The 16,024-nt window shown below is 36.5% G+C and overlaps 1 protein-coding gene across 10 annotated transcripts in view; it reads right to left on the minus strand.

Annotated features, from left to right (window-relative positions):
* VPS54 (VPS54 subunit of GARP complex) overlaps window positions 1-16,024 on the minus strand; it is a 127,279-nt gene that overhangs the window by 36,623 nt on the left and 74,632 nt on the right. For 9 of the 10 annotated variants that reach the window (XR_007076389.1, XM_017004316.2, NM_001005739.2 and 6 more), the window contains 3 exons: window positions 15,828-15,883; window positions 13,693-13,789; window positions 4,901-5,241 (listed from right to left, as the gene is read on the minus strand). Coding sequence is in view for 9 of the 10 variants with exons in the window: in XM_017004316.2 (XP_016859805.1) it covers window positions 4,901-5,241; window positions 13,693-13,789; window positions 15,828-15,883 (494 nt within the window). In the remaining variant the exon portion in view is untranslated. Of the gene's footprint in view, window positions 1-4,900; window positions 5,242-10,119; window positions 13,257-13,692; window positions 13,790-15,827; window positions 15,884-16,024 lie in introns of those variants that run through there. The other variant, XM_047444732.1, reaches the window with a different exon arrangement.

Raw genomic sequence — 16,024 nt, forward strand, 5'->3', positions numbered from 1 at the left:
TGCAAAGACACACATAGGCTCAAAATAAAGGGATGGAGGAAGATCTACCAAGCAAATGGAAAGCAAAAAAAAAAAAAAAAAGCAGGGGTTGCAATCTTGGTCTCTGACGAAACAGACTTTAAACCAACAAAAATCAAAAGACACAAAGAAGACCATTATATAATGGTAAAGGGATCAATTCAACAAGAAGAACTAACTATCCTAAATATATATACAACCAATACAGGAGCACCCAGATTCATAAAGCAAGTCCTTAGAGACCTACAAAGAGACTTACACTCCCACACAATAATAATGGGAGACGTTAATACCCCACTGTCAATATTAGATCAACACGACAGAAAATTAACAAGGATATCCAGGACTTGAACTCAGCTCTGGACCAAACGGACCTAATAGACATCTGCAGAACTCTCCACCCCAAATCAACAGAATATACATTCTTCTCAGCACCACATCACACTTATTCTAAAATTGACCACATAACTCGAACTAAAGCACTCCTCAGCAAATGTAAAAGAACAGAAATCACAACAAACTGTCTCTCAGACCACACTGCAATCAAATTAGAACTCAGGATTAAGAATCTCAATCAAAACCACTCAACTACATGGAAACTGAACAACCTGCTCCTGAATGACTACTGGGTAAATAACAAAATGAAGGCAGAAACAAAGATGTTCTTTGAAACCAATGAGAACAAAGACACAACGTACCAGAATCTCTGGGACACATTTAAAGCAGTGTGTAGAGGGAAATTTATAGCAGTAAATGCCCACAAGAGAAAGCAGGAGAGATCTAAAATCAACACCCTAACATCACAATTAAAAGAACTAGAGAAGCAAGAGCAAACACATTCAAAAGCTAGCAGAAGGCAAGAAATAACTAAGATCAGAGCAGAACTGAAGGACACAGAGACATAAAAAACCCTTCAAAAAAAAAAAAATCAATGAATCCAGGAGCTGGTTTTTTGAAAAGATCAACAAAATTGATCTAGCAAGACTAATAAGAAGAGAAAGAAAAATCAAATAGACACAATAAAAAATGATAAAGGGGATATCACCACCAACCCCACAGAAATACAAACTACCATCAGAGAATACTACAAACACCTCTACACAAATAAACTAGAAAATCTAGAAGAAATGGATAAATTCCTCGACATATGCACCCTCCCAAGACTAAACCAGGAAGAAGTTGAATCTCTGAATAGACCAGTAACAGGTTCTGAAATTGAGGCAATAATTAATAGCCTACCAACCAAAAAAAGTTCAGGACCAGACAGATTCACAGCTGAATTCTACCAGAGGTACGAGGAAGAGCTAGTACCATTCCTTCTGAAACTATTCCAATCAATAGAAAAAGAGGGAATCCACCCTAACTCATTTTATGAGGCCAGCATTATCCTGATACCAAAGCCTGGAAGAGACACAACAAAAAAAGAGAATTTTAGGCCAATATCCCTGATGAACATCGATGAGAAAATCCTCAACAAAATACCGGCAAACCGAATCCAGCAGCACATCGAAAAGCTTATCCACCAAGATCAAGTCAGCTTCATCCCTGGGATGCAAGGCTGGTTTGACATTCATAAATCAATAAATGTAATCCATCACATAAGCAGAACCAATGACAAAAACCACATGATTATCTCAATAGATGCAGAAAAGGCCTTTGAAAAAATTCAACAGCCTTTCATGCTAAAAACTCTCAATAAACTAGGTATTGATGGAACATATCTCAAAATAGTAAGAGCTATTTATGACAAACCCACAGCCAATATAATACTGACTGGGCAAAAACTGGAAGCATTCACTTTGAAAACCGGCACAAGACACAGATGCCCTTTCTCACCACTCCTATTCAATATAGTATTGGAAGTTCTGGCCAGGGCAATCAGGCAAGAGAAAAAAATAAAGGGTATTCAATGTGGAAAAGAGGAAGTCAAATTGTCTCTGTTTGTAGATGACATGATTGTATATTTAGAAAACCCCATCATCTCAGCCCAAAATCTCCTTAAGCTGATAAGCAACTTCAGCAAAGTCTCAGGATACAAAATCAATGTGCAAAAATCACAAGCATTTCTATACACCAATAACAGACAAACAGAGAGCCAAATCATGAGCGAACTCCCATTCACAATTGCTACAAAGAGAATAAAATACCTAGGAATCCAACTTACAAGGGATGTGAAGGACCTCTTCAAGGAGAACTACAAACCACTGCTCAAGGAAATAAGAGAGGACACAAACAAATGGAAAAACATTCCATGCTCATGGATAAGAAGAATCAATATTGTGAAAATGGCCTTACTGCCAAAAGTAATTTATAGATTCAATGCCATCCCCATCAAGCTACCACTGACTTTCTTCACAGAAATGAAAAAAACTACTAATGGAACCAAAAAAGAGCCCGCATAGCCAAGACAATCCTGGGCAAGAAGAACAAAGCTGGAGGCATCATGCTACCTGACGTCAAACTATACTACAAGGCTACAATAATCAAAACAACATGATACCGGTACCAAAACAGATATATAGACCAATGGAACAGAACAGAGGCCTCAGAAATAATACCACACATCTACAACCATCTGATCTTTGACAAACCTGACACATACAAGCAATGGGGAAAAGATTCCCTATTTGATAAATGGTGTTGGGAAAACTGGCTAGCCATATGCAGAAAACTGAAACTGGACCCCTTCCTTACACCATATACAAAAATCAACTCAAGATGGATCAAAGACTTAAACGTAAGACCTAGGACCATAAAACTCCTAGAAGAAAACCTGGGCAATACCATTCAGGACATAGGCATGGGCAAAGACTTCATGTCTAAAACACCAAAAGCAATGGCAACAAAAGGCAAAATTGACAAATGGGATCTAATTAAACGGAAGAGCTTCTGCACAGCAAAAGAAACTATCATCAGAGTGAACAGGCAACCTACAGAATGGGAGAAAATTTTTGCAATCTACTCATCTGACAAAGGGCTAATATCCAGAATCTACAAAGAACTTAAACAAATTTACAAGAAAAAAGCAAACAACCCCATCAAAAAGTGGGCAAAGGATATGAACAGACACTTCTCAAAAGAGGACATTTATGTGGCCAAAAGACATATGAAAAAATGCTCATCATCACTGGTCATTAGAGAAATGCAAATCAAAACCACAGTGAGATACCATCTCACTCCAGTTAGAATGGCGATCACTACAAAATCAGGAAACAACAGATGCTGGAGAGGATGTGGAGAAATAGAAATGCATTTACACTGTTGGTGGGAGTGTTAATTAGTTCAACCATTGTGGAAGACAGTGTGGCGATTCTTCAAGGATCTAGAACTAGAAATACCATTTGACCCAGACATCCCATTACTGGGCATATACCCAAAGGATTATAAATGATTCTACGATGAAGACACATGCACACGTATGTTTACTGTGGGGACTATTCACAATAGCAAAGACTTGGAACCAACCCAAAGGTTCATCAATGATAGACTGGATTAAGATAATGTGGCACATATACACCGTGGAATACTATGCAGCCATAAAAAAGGATGAGTTCATGTCCTTTGCAGGGACATGGATGAAGCTGGAAACCATCATTCTCAGCAAACTATCACAAGATCAGAAAACCAAACACTGCATGTTCTCACTCATAAGTGGGAGCTGAACAATGAGAACACGTGGACACAGGGAGGGGAACATCACACACCAGGGCCTGTGAAGGGTGGAGGGCTAGGGGAGGGATAACATTAGGAGAAATACCTAATGTAGGTGATGGGCTGATGGGTGCAGCAAACCACCATGGCACATGTATACCTATGTAACAAAACTGCACTTTCTGCACATGTAACCCAGAACTTAAAGTATAAAAAAAAAAAAACAGAAAAAGAAGTAATAATAAAGTACTGAGTTGATTTATATAAAGATAATAAAAATATTGTTATTCTTAACAATAACTAAATCCAAACTATTCTTGGACCAGAAATATTTTATTGGTTCTATTTTTTTGATAACGGAGATTACTGGGTCAATTGGTAAACTTTGTTTAAATGGGATCTGTGGATCAGACAGTAATATTAATAATTTATTGTATCAATGTTTCCTTGTATTTAATCAGTATACTAAGGTTATATAGGAGTGTTCTTGTGTTTAGGAAATATACACCAGGTATCCAGGGATAATAGTGCATCATGTCTGTAACCTACTGTCAAAGGATTCAGAAAAAATATTAACATAAGAGATAAAGACAAAAGGAGACAGAAAGAGAAAAAGAGAGGGAGGGAGGCAGAGTGCAATGTGGTAAAGTATTAACACCTGGGGAATCTGGATGAAGGTTATATGAGAGTTTTTTGTTCTATTCTGGTAACTTTTCTGTAAATTTGAAATTATTTCAAAATAAGAAGTTTTTAAAATAAGGTTTAAGAGAAGATGTGATCCATTTGGAAATTCATGTCTTTGAAAAACCAAAAGTTATAAATCAAACAGATCTTCACAACATATAAATCACAAAGGTGACACAGAAGAAAGAAAAATGACCAAAGCAAAAACTGACCTGGGTTCCAGTATATGTTCTGCCACTAGTCACTGTAAGCAAGTCATCTAAGCTCTCTGGGCATCAATTACCTTATCACTGAAATGAGGGCATTTAATAAAATGGTCTTTAAAGTTCTTTTGCAATCTTAAAACTCTATAATTTTCAATTACTTCCAATGCTCACCTCCTTACTTCTCATACATTTTTATAGAGATACGTTTCATAAAATTAATATATTTTTGTTAAATTCTAAAATTTACATGGTTTTTCAATAAACTGAATAATCAATCTTACTGAATCCATTAATAAGATGACTCAAAATCTTGTCAATTTGGCAGTAGCCACTATACTCACATAATATCCACACCTCCTGGAATAGCAGATGATGATGTGTGCTCTTTGCTGGATGAAGAATCAGTAGTACATTCTGGCTCGGATACAGAATCACTGCTGCAGGGCTCACTATTTGGAGATGCATTTCTTTGAGAGGTAGTGTCAACTGCTATAGGTGTTAGCTCACCCTCACCGAATGCATCACTTATAAACATGCCTTCATGGATTAAATAAGCCACCTCTGTGTCCAGTGAATTATCTTTTGCAGCATTCTTCTGTTGTGAAATCTCTTCCAATTCTCTAGTCCTTTGGTTTTTGTCAAGAACTGAGAGAACAACACTGTGAATGATATTTAATGTTGCCTACAAGAAAATAGGACACACTTTTAAGGGACGTAAAATGTCTCTTACCTGAAGTTCCCAAAAGAGAATTCTGTGCATGTAATTTTGGACATCTATAATCATAAATGAGTCAAAGTCATGTATATCAGAATTTCTACCGATCTTTTATTACATAGGAAAAGTGATGTGAAAAAGAACTGGCCAGGAGAAATGGGTTCACTAAAGCTTAGAAATAAACTTCCTATATTTTAACTAATTTTTAAAATGGAAATCTCCCTAAAATATGTTGCATATTTCTCTGACCTCTTAAAAAGGTTACACTAAACATAACTTGCCCATCAGAGAATCATATACATTGATATGCCTGTCTAAAAGAAAAGGAATCTGTGTTACTTACCATGCCTAGCCCCTACCTCTCTTTCTCCTTTTCTCGTATCTTCTCTCACTTATTCACTACTCTCCAGACATTCTAGTTCTCTTTCTACTCTTCCCTCATTCCAGGATTGTTCCCACCTCAGTGCCTCTGCTGTTTCCTCTATCCGGAATGCTTTTCACCTTGATCTTTGCACATATTTCCTTCTCATCACTGAGGTTCTGGCTCCAGTGGTCACTTCCTCAGAGGCCTTCCCTGAATCTCCACCCAGCAACTCTATCCCATTATCCAGTTTTTGTAAAAAAATAAAAACAAAAAACAAAAAAACCCATTTATCATTATGTACAATTATCTTTGTTTATTCTAGGTCTCCTTCTATTAGAATGTCAGCTCCATTCCATGACACTGTAATCCTAATGCCTAGAATAGTGCCTGGCAAATAGGAGGTGCTCAGTAAATATTGAAAGCTAGGCAAATGAAGAGTAAATTTATGTAAACTAATGTCTTTATGGACAATTAAGAAATAAAGGACTGCTTGCCTATTTTAACATTCACAGTTGCAGTCTTACAACTGTTTCTCCCTTTCTCAAAACGCTTGGTTAGTTTTTTTGGAATCTACATGGTTCTAGGGAAGCAGACTCTAACTTCGGGTCTCCAAAATCAACAAAAGGATCTAAGCTAGTCCAATTAGTACATGGAACCACCACAATCTGAGCTTAATTATTAGTAAGGTACATAGAAGAGAGAATTGCAAAGAAATAAAGCCAAAGCTTGATGACACCAACAACCTCTTTATGAAAGACCTTAAGGCTGACCTACCTCTGTGTATTTTTTTAGTTGTATGAGCTAATAAATCCTCTTAACTGTTTGAGACCCTCTGAGTTGTGTTTCCTGTTATTTGGAACTGAAAGCATTTTAAATGAGTCAATAGCCCATACAGTATACCGAAGATAGAGCCTTCAAGAGCTTTAGGACCAAAGTGTCTACTATGGATACTGCATTTTTTTTCTTTCTTCATTGCTCACTAGCTTCTTCTGTATTGTCACAAATTTGCTGCTCCACTACTGCTGCTTTAATCCTCACTGCTGTCCAATCTTGGATATACTTAGTTCCCCCATCTTGTTTTGCGTCTTTTTCCTTATCTCTTCTGTCTTGCTAATTTTCTTTCTTAACTTTTTAAAATAAAAAGACATGACAGACCTATCCAACATCTATTCTACATCACTTTTCCCATGGTACAACAGCCATATAATTTGGGTAGAAATAAGCCCACTTTCCAGCTTCAAGTATCAGTTCTAAATAGCCCACTCAGTGTACTCCCAACCTCCTTGCCTAATGTTTAGCTTAGAGATGAGAAGAAAATCCAGATTTAAACTAATAATCAGTGCACAGCATTTTCCTGATCACAGTGACTGGACATGTGACCTAAACTGGTTCAATCAATTAAAGCCAAGGACTTTCATTTGATGACTGAAGAAGAAAAACTCCAGGTGAAAAATTCTAAATTTGGCTTAATCGATAAAGGAATTTCATTTGGTGACTGAGGAAGGAAAACTCTAAGTAAAAAATAGAAAACTTCTAGGTGGTATAGAATTGTGGCAAATGTGGCAGACCTAGAACTGATGAAGCCAAGAGGAAAGAGAAAGGCAAAGCTGAATTGGAAACAGAGAAACTAAGCTGGAGAACCAAGACAAAACCATGCATGAAGCCCTTCCTAGTCTTGGACTTTTCTTTAATTCCCAGAGCCAATACATTCCTTGTACTGTTTAAACCAGTTTGATTTGAATACTTCATTCCTTTTAATAACATCTTCGCTTATACAGTTATTAAAATTTTCCACATAAAGTATATCAGGTATTCTAGGGATTCTTCTTTGCTGTTTTCACCGTATCTACACTTTTAAAGATTTGCTGATTATTTTTTCCAAATCCAAAGCCATTCTTAAGAATGCCAGAAGACTGGTATCCAAAAAATAAGATTTTAAAATACATAATACTTTCAACAGTAGATACATGGTTTACTTTCTGAACTATTACACAGTCTATAGACAAGTTCATGTTTCAAAAACACCAGGACAGCTAAGCCAAATATAATTTTCCAATCTTGAGAATGGAGTTAATGAAATATCTGGTAGCCATATTGATAACCATAATGACAACTGATATTGTCATTCTGAAATGACAGACTAGGATTATTTATCCATACAACAAAATGAAATTTAAAAGCTAAGAATTCCTTGAAAAGAAGGTAAGCTGCATTTAAAGGCTGTTATCTTTCTTACCTATAAAAATTAGCCTAATCTATAGGGTGCTAACAATAAACAAGAATTTAATAAAAAGTCAAAATACAATCGTAAAGAATGAAGTATGGAAGTCTTATAATCCTGATTTCAAAACTTACAAGACTATGGTAATCATAACAGTGTGGTATTGGCATAAAGAGTGACATATAGAATAGAGAGAGCCCACAAATGAACTCTCACATATACAGTAAAATGTTTTTTGACAAGGGTGGCAAGACCATTCAATGCAGAAAGGTCAGTCTTTTCAACAAATGATACTCGGAAAACTGAATATCCACATGCTAAAGAATGAAAGTAGACCGCTGTCTTATACCACCTATAAAAACAAACTAAAGTCAATTAAAGGCCTAAATATAAGCTCTAAAAATATAAAATTCTTACAAGAAAATACAGGGAAAAAGCTTCAGGACACTGGATTTGGCATTGATTTCTTGGATATGAAATGAAAAACATAGGTGACAACAAAAAAATAGACAAATTGGACTACATCAAAATAGAAAAACTTCTATGCATCAAAAGACACCATTAACAGAGTAAAAAGGCAACCTGCGGAATGGGAGAAAATATTTGTAAATCACGTATATGATAAAAGGTTAATATCCAGAATATGTAAAGAACTTCTACAACTCAACAACAAAAAAACCAAACCACCCCATTAAATAATAGGCAAATAAAATATTTTTCCAAAAAAGACATAAAAATGCCCAATAAGCACATAAAAAAGATGCTCAACATCACTCATCATTAGAAAAATGTAAATTAAACCTACAGGGAAATACCACCTCATACCCATTAGGATGGCTAGTCTCACAAAATCCAGAAAATAACAAGTTTTGGCAAGGATGCAGAAAAACTGAAACCCTGCACTATTGGTGGAAATGTAAAATGGTACAGCTGCTATGGAGAACAGTGTGAAGGTTCCTCAGAAAATTACAAATAGGATGACCGTATGATCCAGAAATTCCAATTCTGGGGTTGACAAAAATAAGAACTAAAAGGGGGCCTCAGAGAGATATTTGCATATGCATGTTCATGGCATTATTATTATTCTCAACAGCCAAAAGTTGAAGGCAACACAAATGTCCATTGATGAATGGATAAGCAAAATGTAGTAGATACACATATAATGGAATATTATTCATATTACTCAGCCTTAAAAAGGAAGGAAATTCTAACATGCTACAACACAGATGGCACCTTGAGGACATTAAGCTACATTAAATAAGCCAGTCACAAAAGGATAAATATTGTATGATTCCACTTATATGAAATACCTAATAATCGGTGCACAGCATGAGTGCTCTATGAGTCAAACTCATAGAGACAGAAAGTAGAATGGTGGTTGCCAGGGGATTGGGGAAAGTGGAAACGTGTGTGTGTGTGGTGTGTGTGGTGTGTGTGTGTGTGTGTGTGTGTGTCTAGACAGGATCTTGCTAGGTTTGCCCAGGACTTGTGTGCATGTGTGCGTGGCTGTGTGTGTGTGCAGACAGGATCTTCCTAGGTTGCCCAGACTGGTCTCAAACTCTGGTCTCAAGCGATTCTCCTGCCTCAGTCTCTCAAGGTGTTGGGATTATAGGCATGAGCTACTATGTCAGGCCTATATTTGGTCTTTGTCCCCATTCCCTGGCATGCAGCTCCCTAAACTCTTGGAATCTCCAGAGTGGTAAAAATGTCTTCATATGCTAAAGAGATGACAAATAGCCGAGGGCCCCTACATAGCCACAGGATGAAGGCTGGTCACCTGAAAGACTAAGGCAGGATTAGAGGACTGGGACTTTCAGCCCCACCTTGGCCAGAGTTATTATTATTATTTTGAGACAAACTTTCGCTCTTGTCACCCAAGCTGGAGTGCAGTGGCACAATCTTGGCTCACTGCAACCTCCACCTCCTGGGTTCAAGCGATTCTCCTGCCTCAGCCTCCGGAATAGCTGGGATTACAGGCATGAGACACCATGCCCAGCTGATTTTTGTATTATTAGTAGAGATGGGGTTTCACCATGTTGGCCCGGCTGGTCTCAAATTCCTGACCTCAGGTGATCCACCCACCTCAGCCTCCCAAAGTGCTGGGATTACAGGCGTGAGCCACCACGCCAGGCCCAGAGTTATTATGTAATAGGTACAGAGTTTCAGCTTTGCAAGATAAAAAGAGTTCTGTGGATGGATGTTTGTTAACAGTAGCACAATAGTGCAAATGAACTTAATGCCACTGAATTGTGCACTTAAAATCAGTTAAGTTTTATGTTTATTTTTACCATGACCAAAAAGGAAGAAAAAATACACACTAAAAAAATACAAATAACAGCAACAGATCCTCAAGTTGTTAACAATTACTCAAATATGAAATTTATAAATCCCAATAGCTTATTATTTATCCATTCAAAATAAAAATACTATTGAAATATTCTGGCTGAAAATGTACCCTTTAATTTCTTTTAAAAAGTATAATACTAAATCCCTGCACTTTTGGAGGCCAAGGTGGGTGGATCACAAGGTCAGGAGATTGAGATCATCCTGGCCAACATGGTGAAACCCCATCTGTACTAAAAACACAAAAATTAGCTAGACATGGTGGCGTGCGCCTATAATCCCAGCTACTCAGGTGGCTGAGGCAAGATAATCACTTGATCCTGGGAGGCAGAGATTGAAGTGAGCTGAGATTGTGCCACTGCACTCCAGCCTGGCGACAGAGTGAAACTCTACCTCAAAAAAAAACAAAAAAACAAAAAAAGCGTAATACTAAAGTGACATATAGAATTGGATATCCTTTGTCTTTGAGAAATAAATGCAACAATGTAGGAGAGTAAATTATTAACCCTGGTAAATCAAACAAGAAATTCAAATAGTCTATTCCTGTAATGTGGTAAATTCTATTAAAAAACAAAACAACTTTTTCTGATTATAAAAGTAATACTTCTCTTTGTAGAAAATTCAGGGAAAATAGAAAAGAATAAAAAATCTAAATGACATCTAATCTGACCAGCTAAAGAAAACCACCAAAAAACCCCAAAGTTTCTCCTTGTTCTAGGAAGATAAAAGGGTTAAAAAAAATTCTTTTTGACATAGCTGAGATCACACTATATAAGTACATCTACATCTTGCCTTTTTTTTTTTTAAGACGGAGTCTTGCTCCGTCACCAGGCTGGAGTACAGTAGCACCATCTTGGCTCACTGCAACCTCCACCTCCCGGGTTCAAGTGATTCTCCTGCCTCAGCCTCCCAAGTAGCTGGGACAAACATGCACCAACACGCCCAGCTAATTTTTGTATTTTTAGTAGAGACAGGGTTTCACCATATTGGCCAGGATGGTCTCGATCTCTTGACCTTGTGATCTGCCTGCCTCGGCCTCCCAAAGTGCTGGAATTACAGGTGTGAGCCATGGTGCCTGGCCCTGTATCTTGCATTTTTAACTGAATATCATAATGTATGTATTTTCTCCTACCATTAAAAATCCTTGGCTGTATATAATATTCCATGGTAAAGAATGTGTCAAGCATAATTTATTTTACCATTTCTCTATTGTTAGACATCTGGGTTCTTTCCAATTTTTAGTTATTTTTAAATTCTTCAATAAAAATGAACAGCTTGTAATTAACATTATTTTTCAGTGAAGTAATACTTGACAGAATCACAAACTTTTTTCACAGAAAAAAGTACCATATTTCATGTCATCTGTAAAGATGTTGTACATAAGTACTAGTTTAAGTGGTCCAAATGTGAAAATGAGAAATTACAACTATAATCAATCAGTTTTCATATAGCACATACATAAAATAATAACTCTACTTAGTTTAACTGACATAGAGCCATTCCACATAGTGGAATAACTACAGTAAATCCTCACTTAATCTGAATGATAGATTCTGGGAGACTATAACTTTAAGTGAAACCACGTACAGCAGGTTTTTGAATAACACTGTTTCCTTCAGTGTTATTGAAAAAAACATTGAAGGAAATGTTTCACTATAATGATGAGTGAAAAAAATAGCTTTGGTATAAGTTGTTTCACTTAAAGTCACAGTTTCCAAGACCTATCCATAACATTGAAGACTTACTGTACTTCAAAAAATTTCTGGCAAAAAGTTGGCCAATTCTACACTATGCAATGTAAGAGTTCTATATAACTAGACATGCAATAATTGAAGTGTGTGATGATGAGGTCATGGTCAGAATATAAGAAGTGAAAACATGGTTTTGTTATTGAACACCTATAGATACAAGTTTGTGTCTGTCACTATCTATAGGTAGGATCAACATTTTAGAAGCAGTCTAAATTAAGCACAGTGAATCCCACTCTATAAAACTTTTGTGAACCTGATTGGAGAGCTTACACATGTGACTTAGCATTGCTTCAATGTGAATAAAGGAAAATTAATGTCATACACAAGTACCAAAGTCCCCTGCACTATTTAACATGGTACTCAGGAGATGCTGGGGATGTTAACTAGTACATAAAACACAATGTTAACACTTGATAACTCAAAAAATATCTAATTTCACAAATGGTCCCTTTTAACTGTTACACATGGTAATTCCTAATGATTGTATTCTTTTTTTATTTTTATTTTTTCATTTTTTGAGATGGAGTCTTGCTCTGTTGGCCAGGCTGGAGTACAGTGGCACAATCATGCCTCACTGCAGCCTTGACCTGCTGGGGTTAGGTGATCATCCCACCTCAGCCACCCAAGTAGCTGGGACTACAGGTGTGCATCACTATGCTTGGCTAATTTAAAAATTTATTTTGTAGAGATGAGGTCTCATTATGTTGCCCAAGCTGGTCTCAAACTCCTGAGCTCAAGTGATCCTCTTGCCTTGGCCTCCCAAAGTGATAGGATTACAGGTGTAATCCACCGTGCCCAGCCTGTATTCTTCTTAAACCAAAGTTATGACATGTTGGTGATTCAAACCAGTATGTATTAGAGTCTGACATCTTCTGTAAAATGATACGTGACCTGTTCTTTTTGTTATACTAAGTGGTTTAAAATTAAGTGGCTTGACTAAAGAGACAAAATAATTAAATGTAACACATGATGCTTGATTGGATTCGTGCCCAAAAAGTGAATAAAAATGTAAATAAAGAATATTAGCAGCCAGGCACAGTGGCTCACACCTATATCTCAGCACTTTGGGAGGCAGAGGCGGGCAGATCACTTGAGGTCAGGAGTTCGAGACCAGCCTGGCCAACATGGTGAAACCCCATCTCTACTAAACATGCAAAAATTAGCCAGGCGTGGTGGCACACGCCTATAATCCTAGCTACTCGGGAGGCTGAGGTAGAAGAATCACTTGAACCCGGGAGGGAGAAGTTGCGGTGAGCCAAGATTGCGCCACTGCACTCCAGCCTGGGTAACAGCAAGACTCCACCTCAAAAAAAAAAAAAAAAAAAGTAAATTAGCAAGGTAATTTGAATATAAACAATATATTTTAAAACACCATTATATCAACATTGACTTTATAGAAAAATTGATAGTTTGGGGTGATTTTGGGGTGTTTAACAATATTGTACCTCTAGATAACCTAGGAGAACAAAAAATCACGAGAGGAAATATTACTGTATAATATTTAATGTAAAGTAAGAGCATATTTCTTTTTAAGTTATAAAATTATAACTTATTAAATTCTTAAAACTGTCAAACTCTGAGGTACCTAAATTTTTATTTAAAAACAAGCCTCTTTAGAAAAATTACAAAAACAAAGAAACTGTGTTTTATTCTAGTTTGAGTCTTTATTTACATATTATGTATCTAGAAAGCTGACTTAATTTTAGGGATATTCTAGACAAACTAATTTATAAGCTTACCTTCACTCTCTGTAGGAAAATTGTAAACTTAGAGAAAATATCCTTGAGCAGATCAAACCACTGGGGAAAATTCAACATTCTCATCTGATCTGCAAGCCTAGAAAAAAATAATTCAAACAAAAATAATGATTGTCTCTGGGCCAATCAATATAACATCTACAAACTGGAAGAAATGAGACTAAATACTATCTAGTGATAAAATGCAATTTCATCTAGATACCTAACTAAAATGTTGAAGAGGTAAATTACCAAAGAGTTATGGCTTATTTAAATATTTTTAAGACTGGTAAGTTAACTATATCATATATCAATTTCATATGAACAAGCTTTATGATCATTGAATGAATAAACCATAGAGAAATAAGTGTGAAGATATACTCTGGAATAAAAATGGAAACATACATCTCTCCCCAAAATTTAATAATCTGCTTTTCTAACTACAACTTTAAAAATACCATATGAGAAGTAATATGGCATGAGTTAAGAGCCCTGGAACCACAACACAATGCCTTGGTTTAAAATAGCAGCAGCTTATTGGAATTGCTAGCTATGTGGCTCTGGCAAGTGACTTAACCCCTCCACGCTCCAATTTTCTCATCTAACATGAGGAAACTGACAGAACCTACCTTATGTGGTTGTTGTAAATATTATATGAGTTAATAAAAAATACTTAGAACAATTCATGACACATTTTTAAAAGTACCATGTAAGCAGCAGCCAATATTATTTTGATAGTTGACAGAAATCATTAACTTCAAGGTGAAAAAAAGTAATACAAATTCATTCCCTAAAGATATTTTATAGTACCAAAATGACTTATTACTCTAAATTTTTAATAAACGCAGCTTCAGTTAAGAGTTTATTCTAAAAAGATACTACAACACTTGATATACAGGAAGTTCTCTACTTCTATGGAGAAAATTCCCTAGGGAAGAAGAAAAACTGACTCTCCACATCCATGGAGCTTCTAATAGTGTCCCAATGACTTATGTTTTCCAACCACTAACAATTCTCTGATTATTATAGTTTGCTTCAACTAATTCTGAAATTGAGTTTTCCCTAGATAATAGTGTGGAAATTAATACTCCATTCTGTGAGTTTGGCCCAAGAAAGTTTCACAGTCGTACATATTGCTAGTCATATCTAAGCCAGCTAAAAACATTTAAATATCCATATGAACAAGAAATTCAGTCATAAAATATTATCACTATTCTTCTTAAAATAATAGAATAGGAATTTTTCTTTTCTTTCTTTCTTTCTTTCTTTTTTTTTTTTTTTGAGACAGGCTCTTACTTCCTTGTGCAGGCTGGAATGCAGTGGCACAATCATGGCTCACTGAAGCCTGGACCTCCCAGGCTCAAACCATCCTCCTACCTTAGCCTCCTGAGTAGCTAGGACTACAGGCATGTGCCACCATGCCCAACTTATTTTTTTAATGTTTATTTTTGGTAGAGATGGGGTCTCACTTTATTGCCCAGGGTGGTCTCGAACTCTTGGGCTCAAGCGATTCTCCCACCTCGGCCTCCCAAAGTGCTGGGATTACAGGTGTGAGTCAATGCGCCTGGCCAAGAATAGGAATTTCTAGGGTGAAAACAAAAAAAAAATACAAACATGGGCAATTCAAAATCATTAACTCAAACTTCTCAAAGCCAATTAAAAGTTGATTTTAATTACATAGCTACAAATTTAAACATAATGCTTGCTATGCCCCTGTAATGAATTATCTCCAATTTCACCTCTCCATATCTATGTTCTGTCCCTGTCCATCCTGCTCTCTGCTCTGGGAAGCTAACATGTGGGCCTGGCCATTGAGGAGCCCTTACAAAAACTGGAAGGAGTAAAGGTACCTACTCCTCTAGCTCTCTAGTAAAGGTACCTATTTCTCCTGTCTCTCTCAAGGGTTGCCTCAGGGTGACTGCTTCCCTCTACTCAAGGTCACAGCTTTTTTTCCAACTACCTTTCTCCTCAATTCTGTTAAGCACTGTCTTCGTTCCACACTGTCACTTGTGATTTTCCTACACCCTGCTCACACCTTAGTAAATAATTCCTTAACGAAATCTACTTCGAATTATTCTAATTTACATCTATCATCTTTTCTCTGACTGATAACCACCAACCTATATATTTATACTTACTTCACAACAACATCTGTGTCTATTTCTTCTGTTTGTGAAACTTTATTAATCACACACTGCAAAATTTAAGAAAAAACAAAAACAATTTGATTAATTGTCTTTCAAATCCTAAGTATTCCATGTTCCATTTGTACATTAAAAAGGCCCTTACTATATGAACAGACACTTTTCAAAAAAGGACATACATGTGGCCAACA

The sequence above is a fragment of the Homo sapiens genome, chromosome 2 (assembly GCF_000001405.40).
Source record: "Homo sapiens chromosome 2, GRCh38.p14 Primary Assembly".
Lineage (NCBI taxonomy): Eukaryota > Metazoa > Chordata > Mammalia > Primates > Hominidae > Homo > Homo sapiens.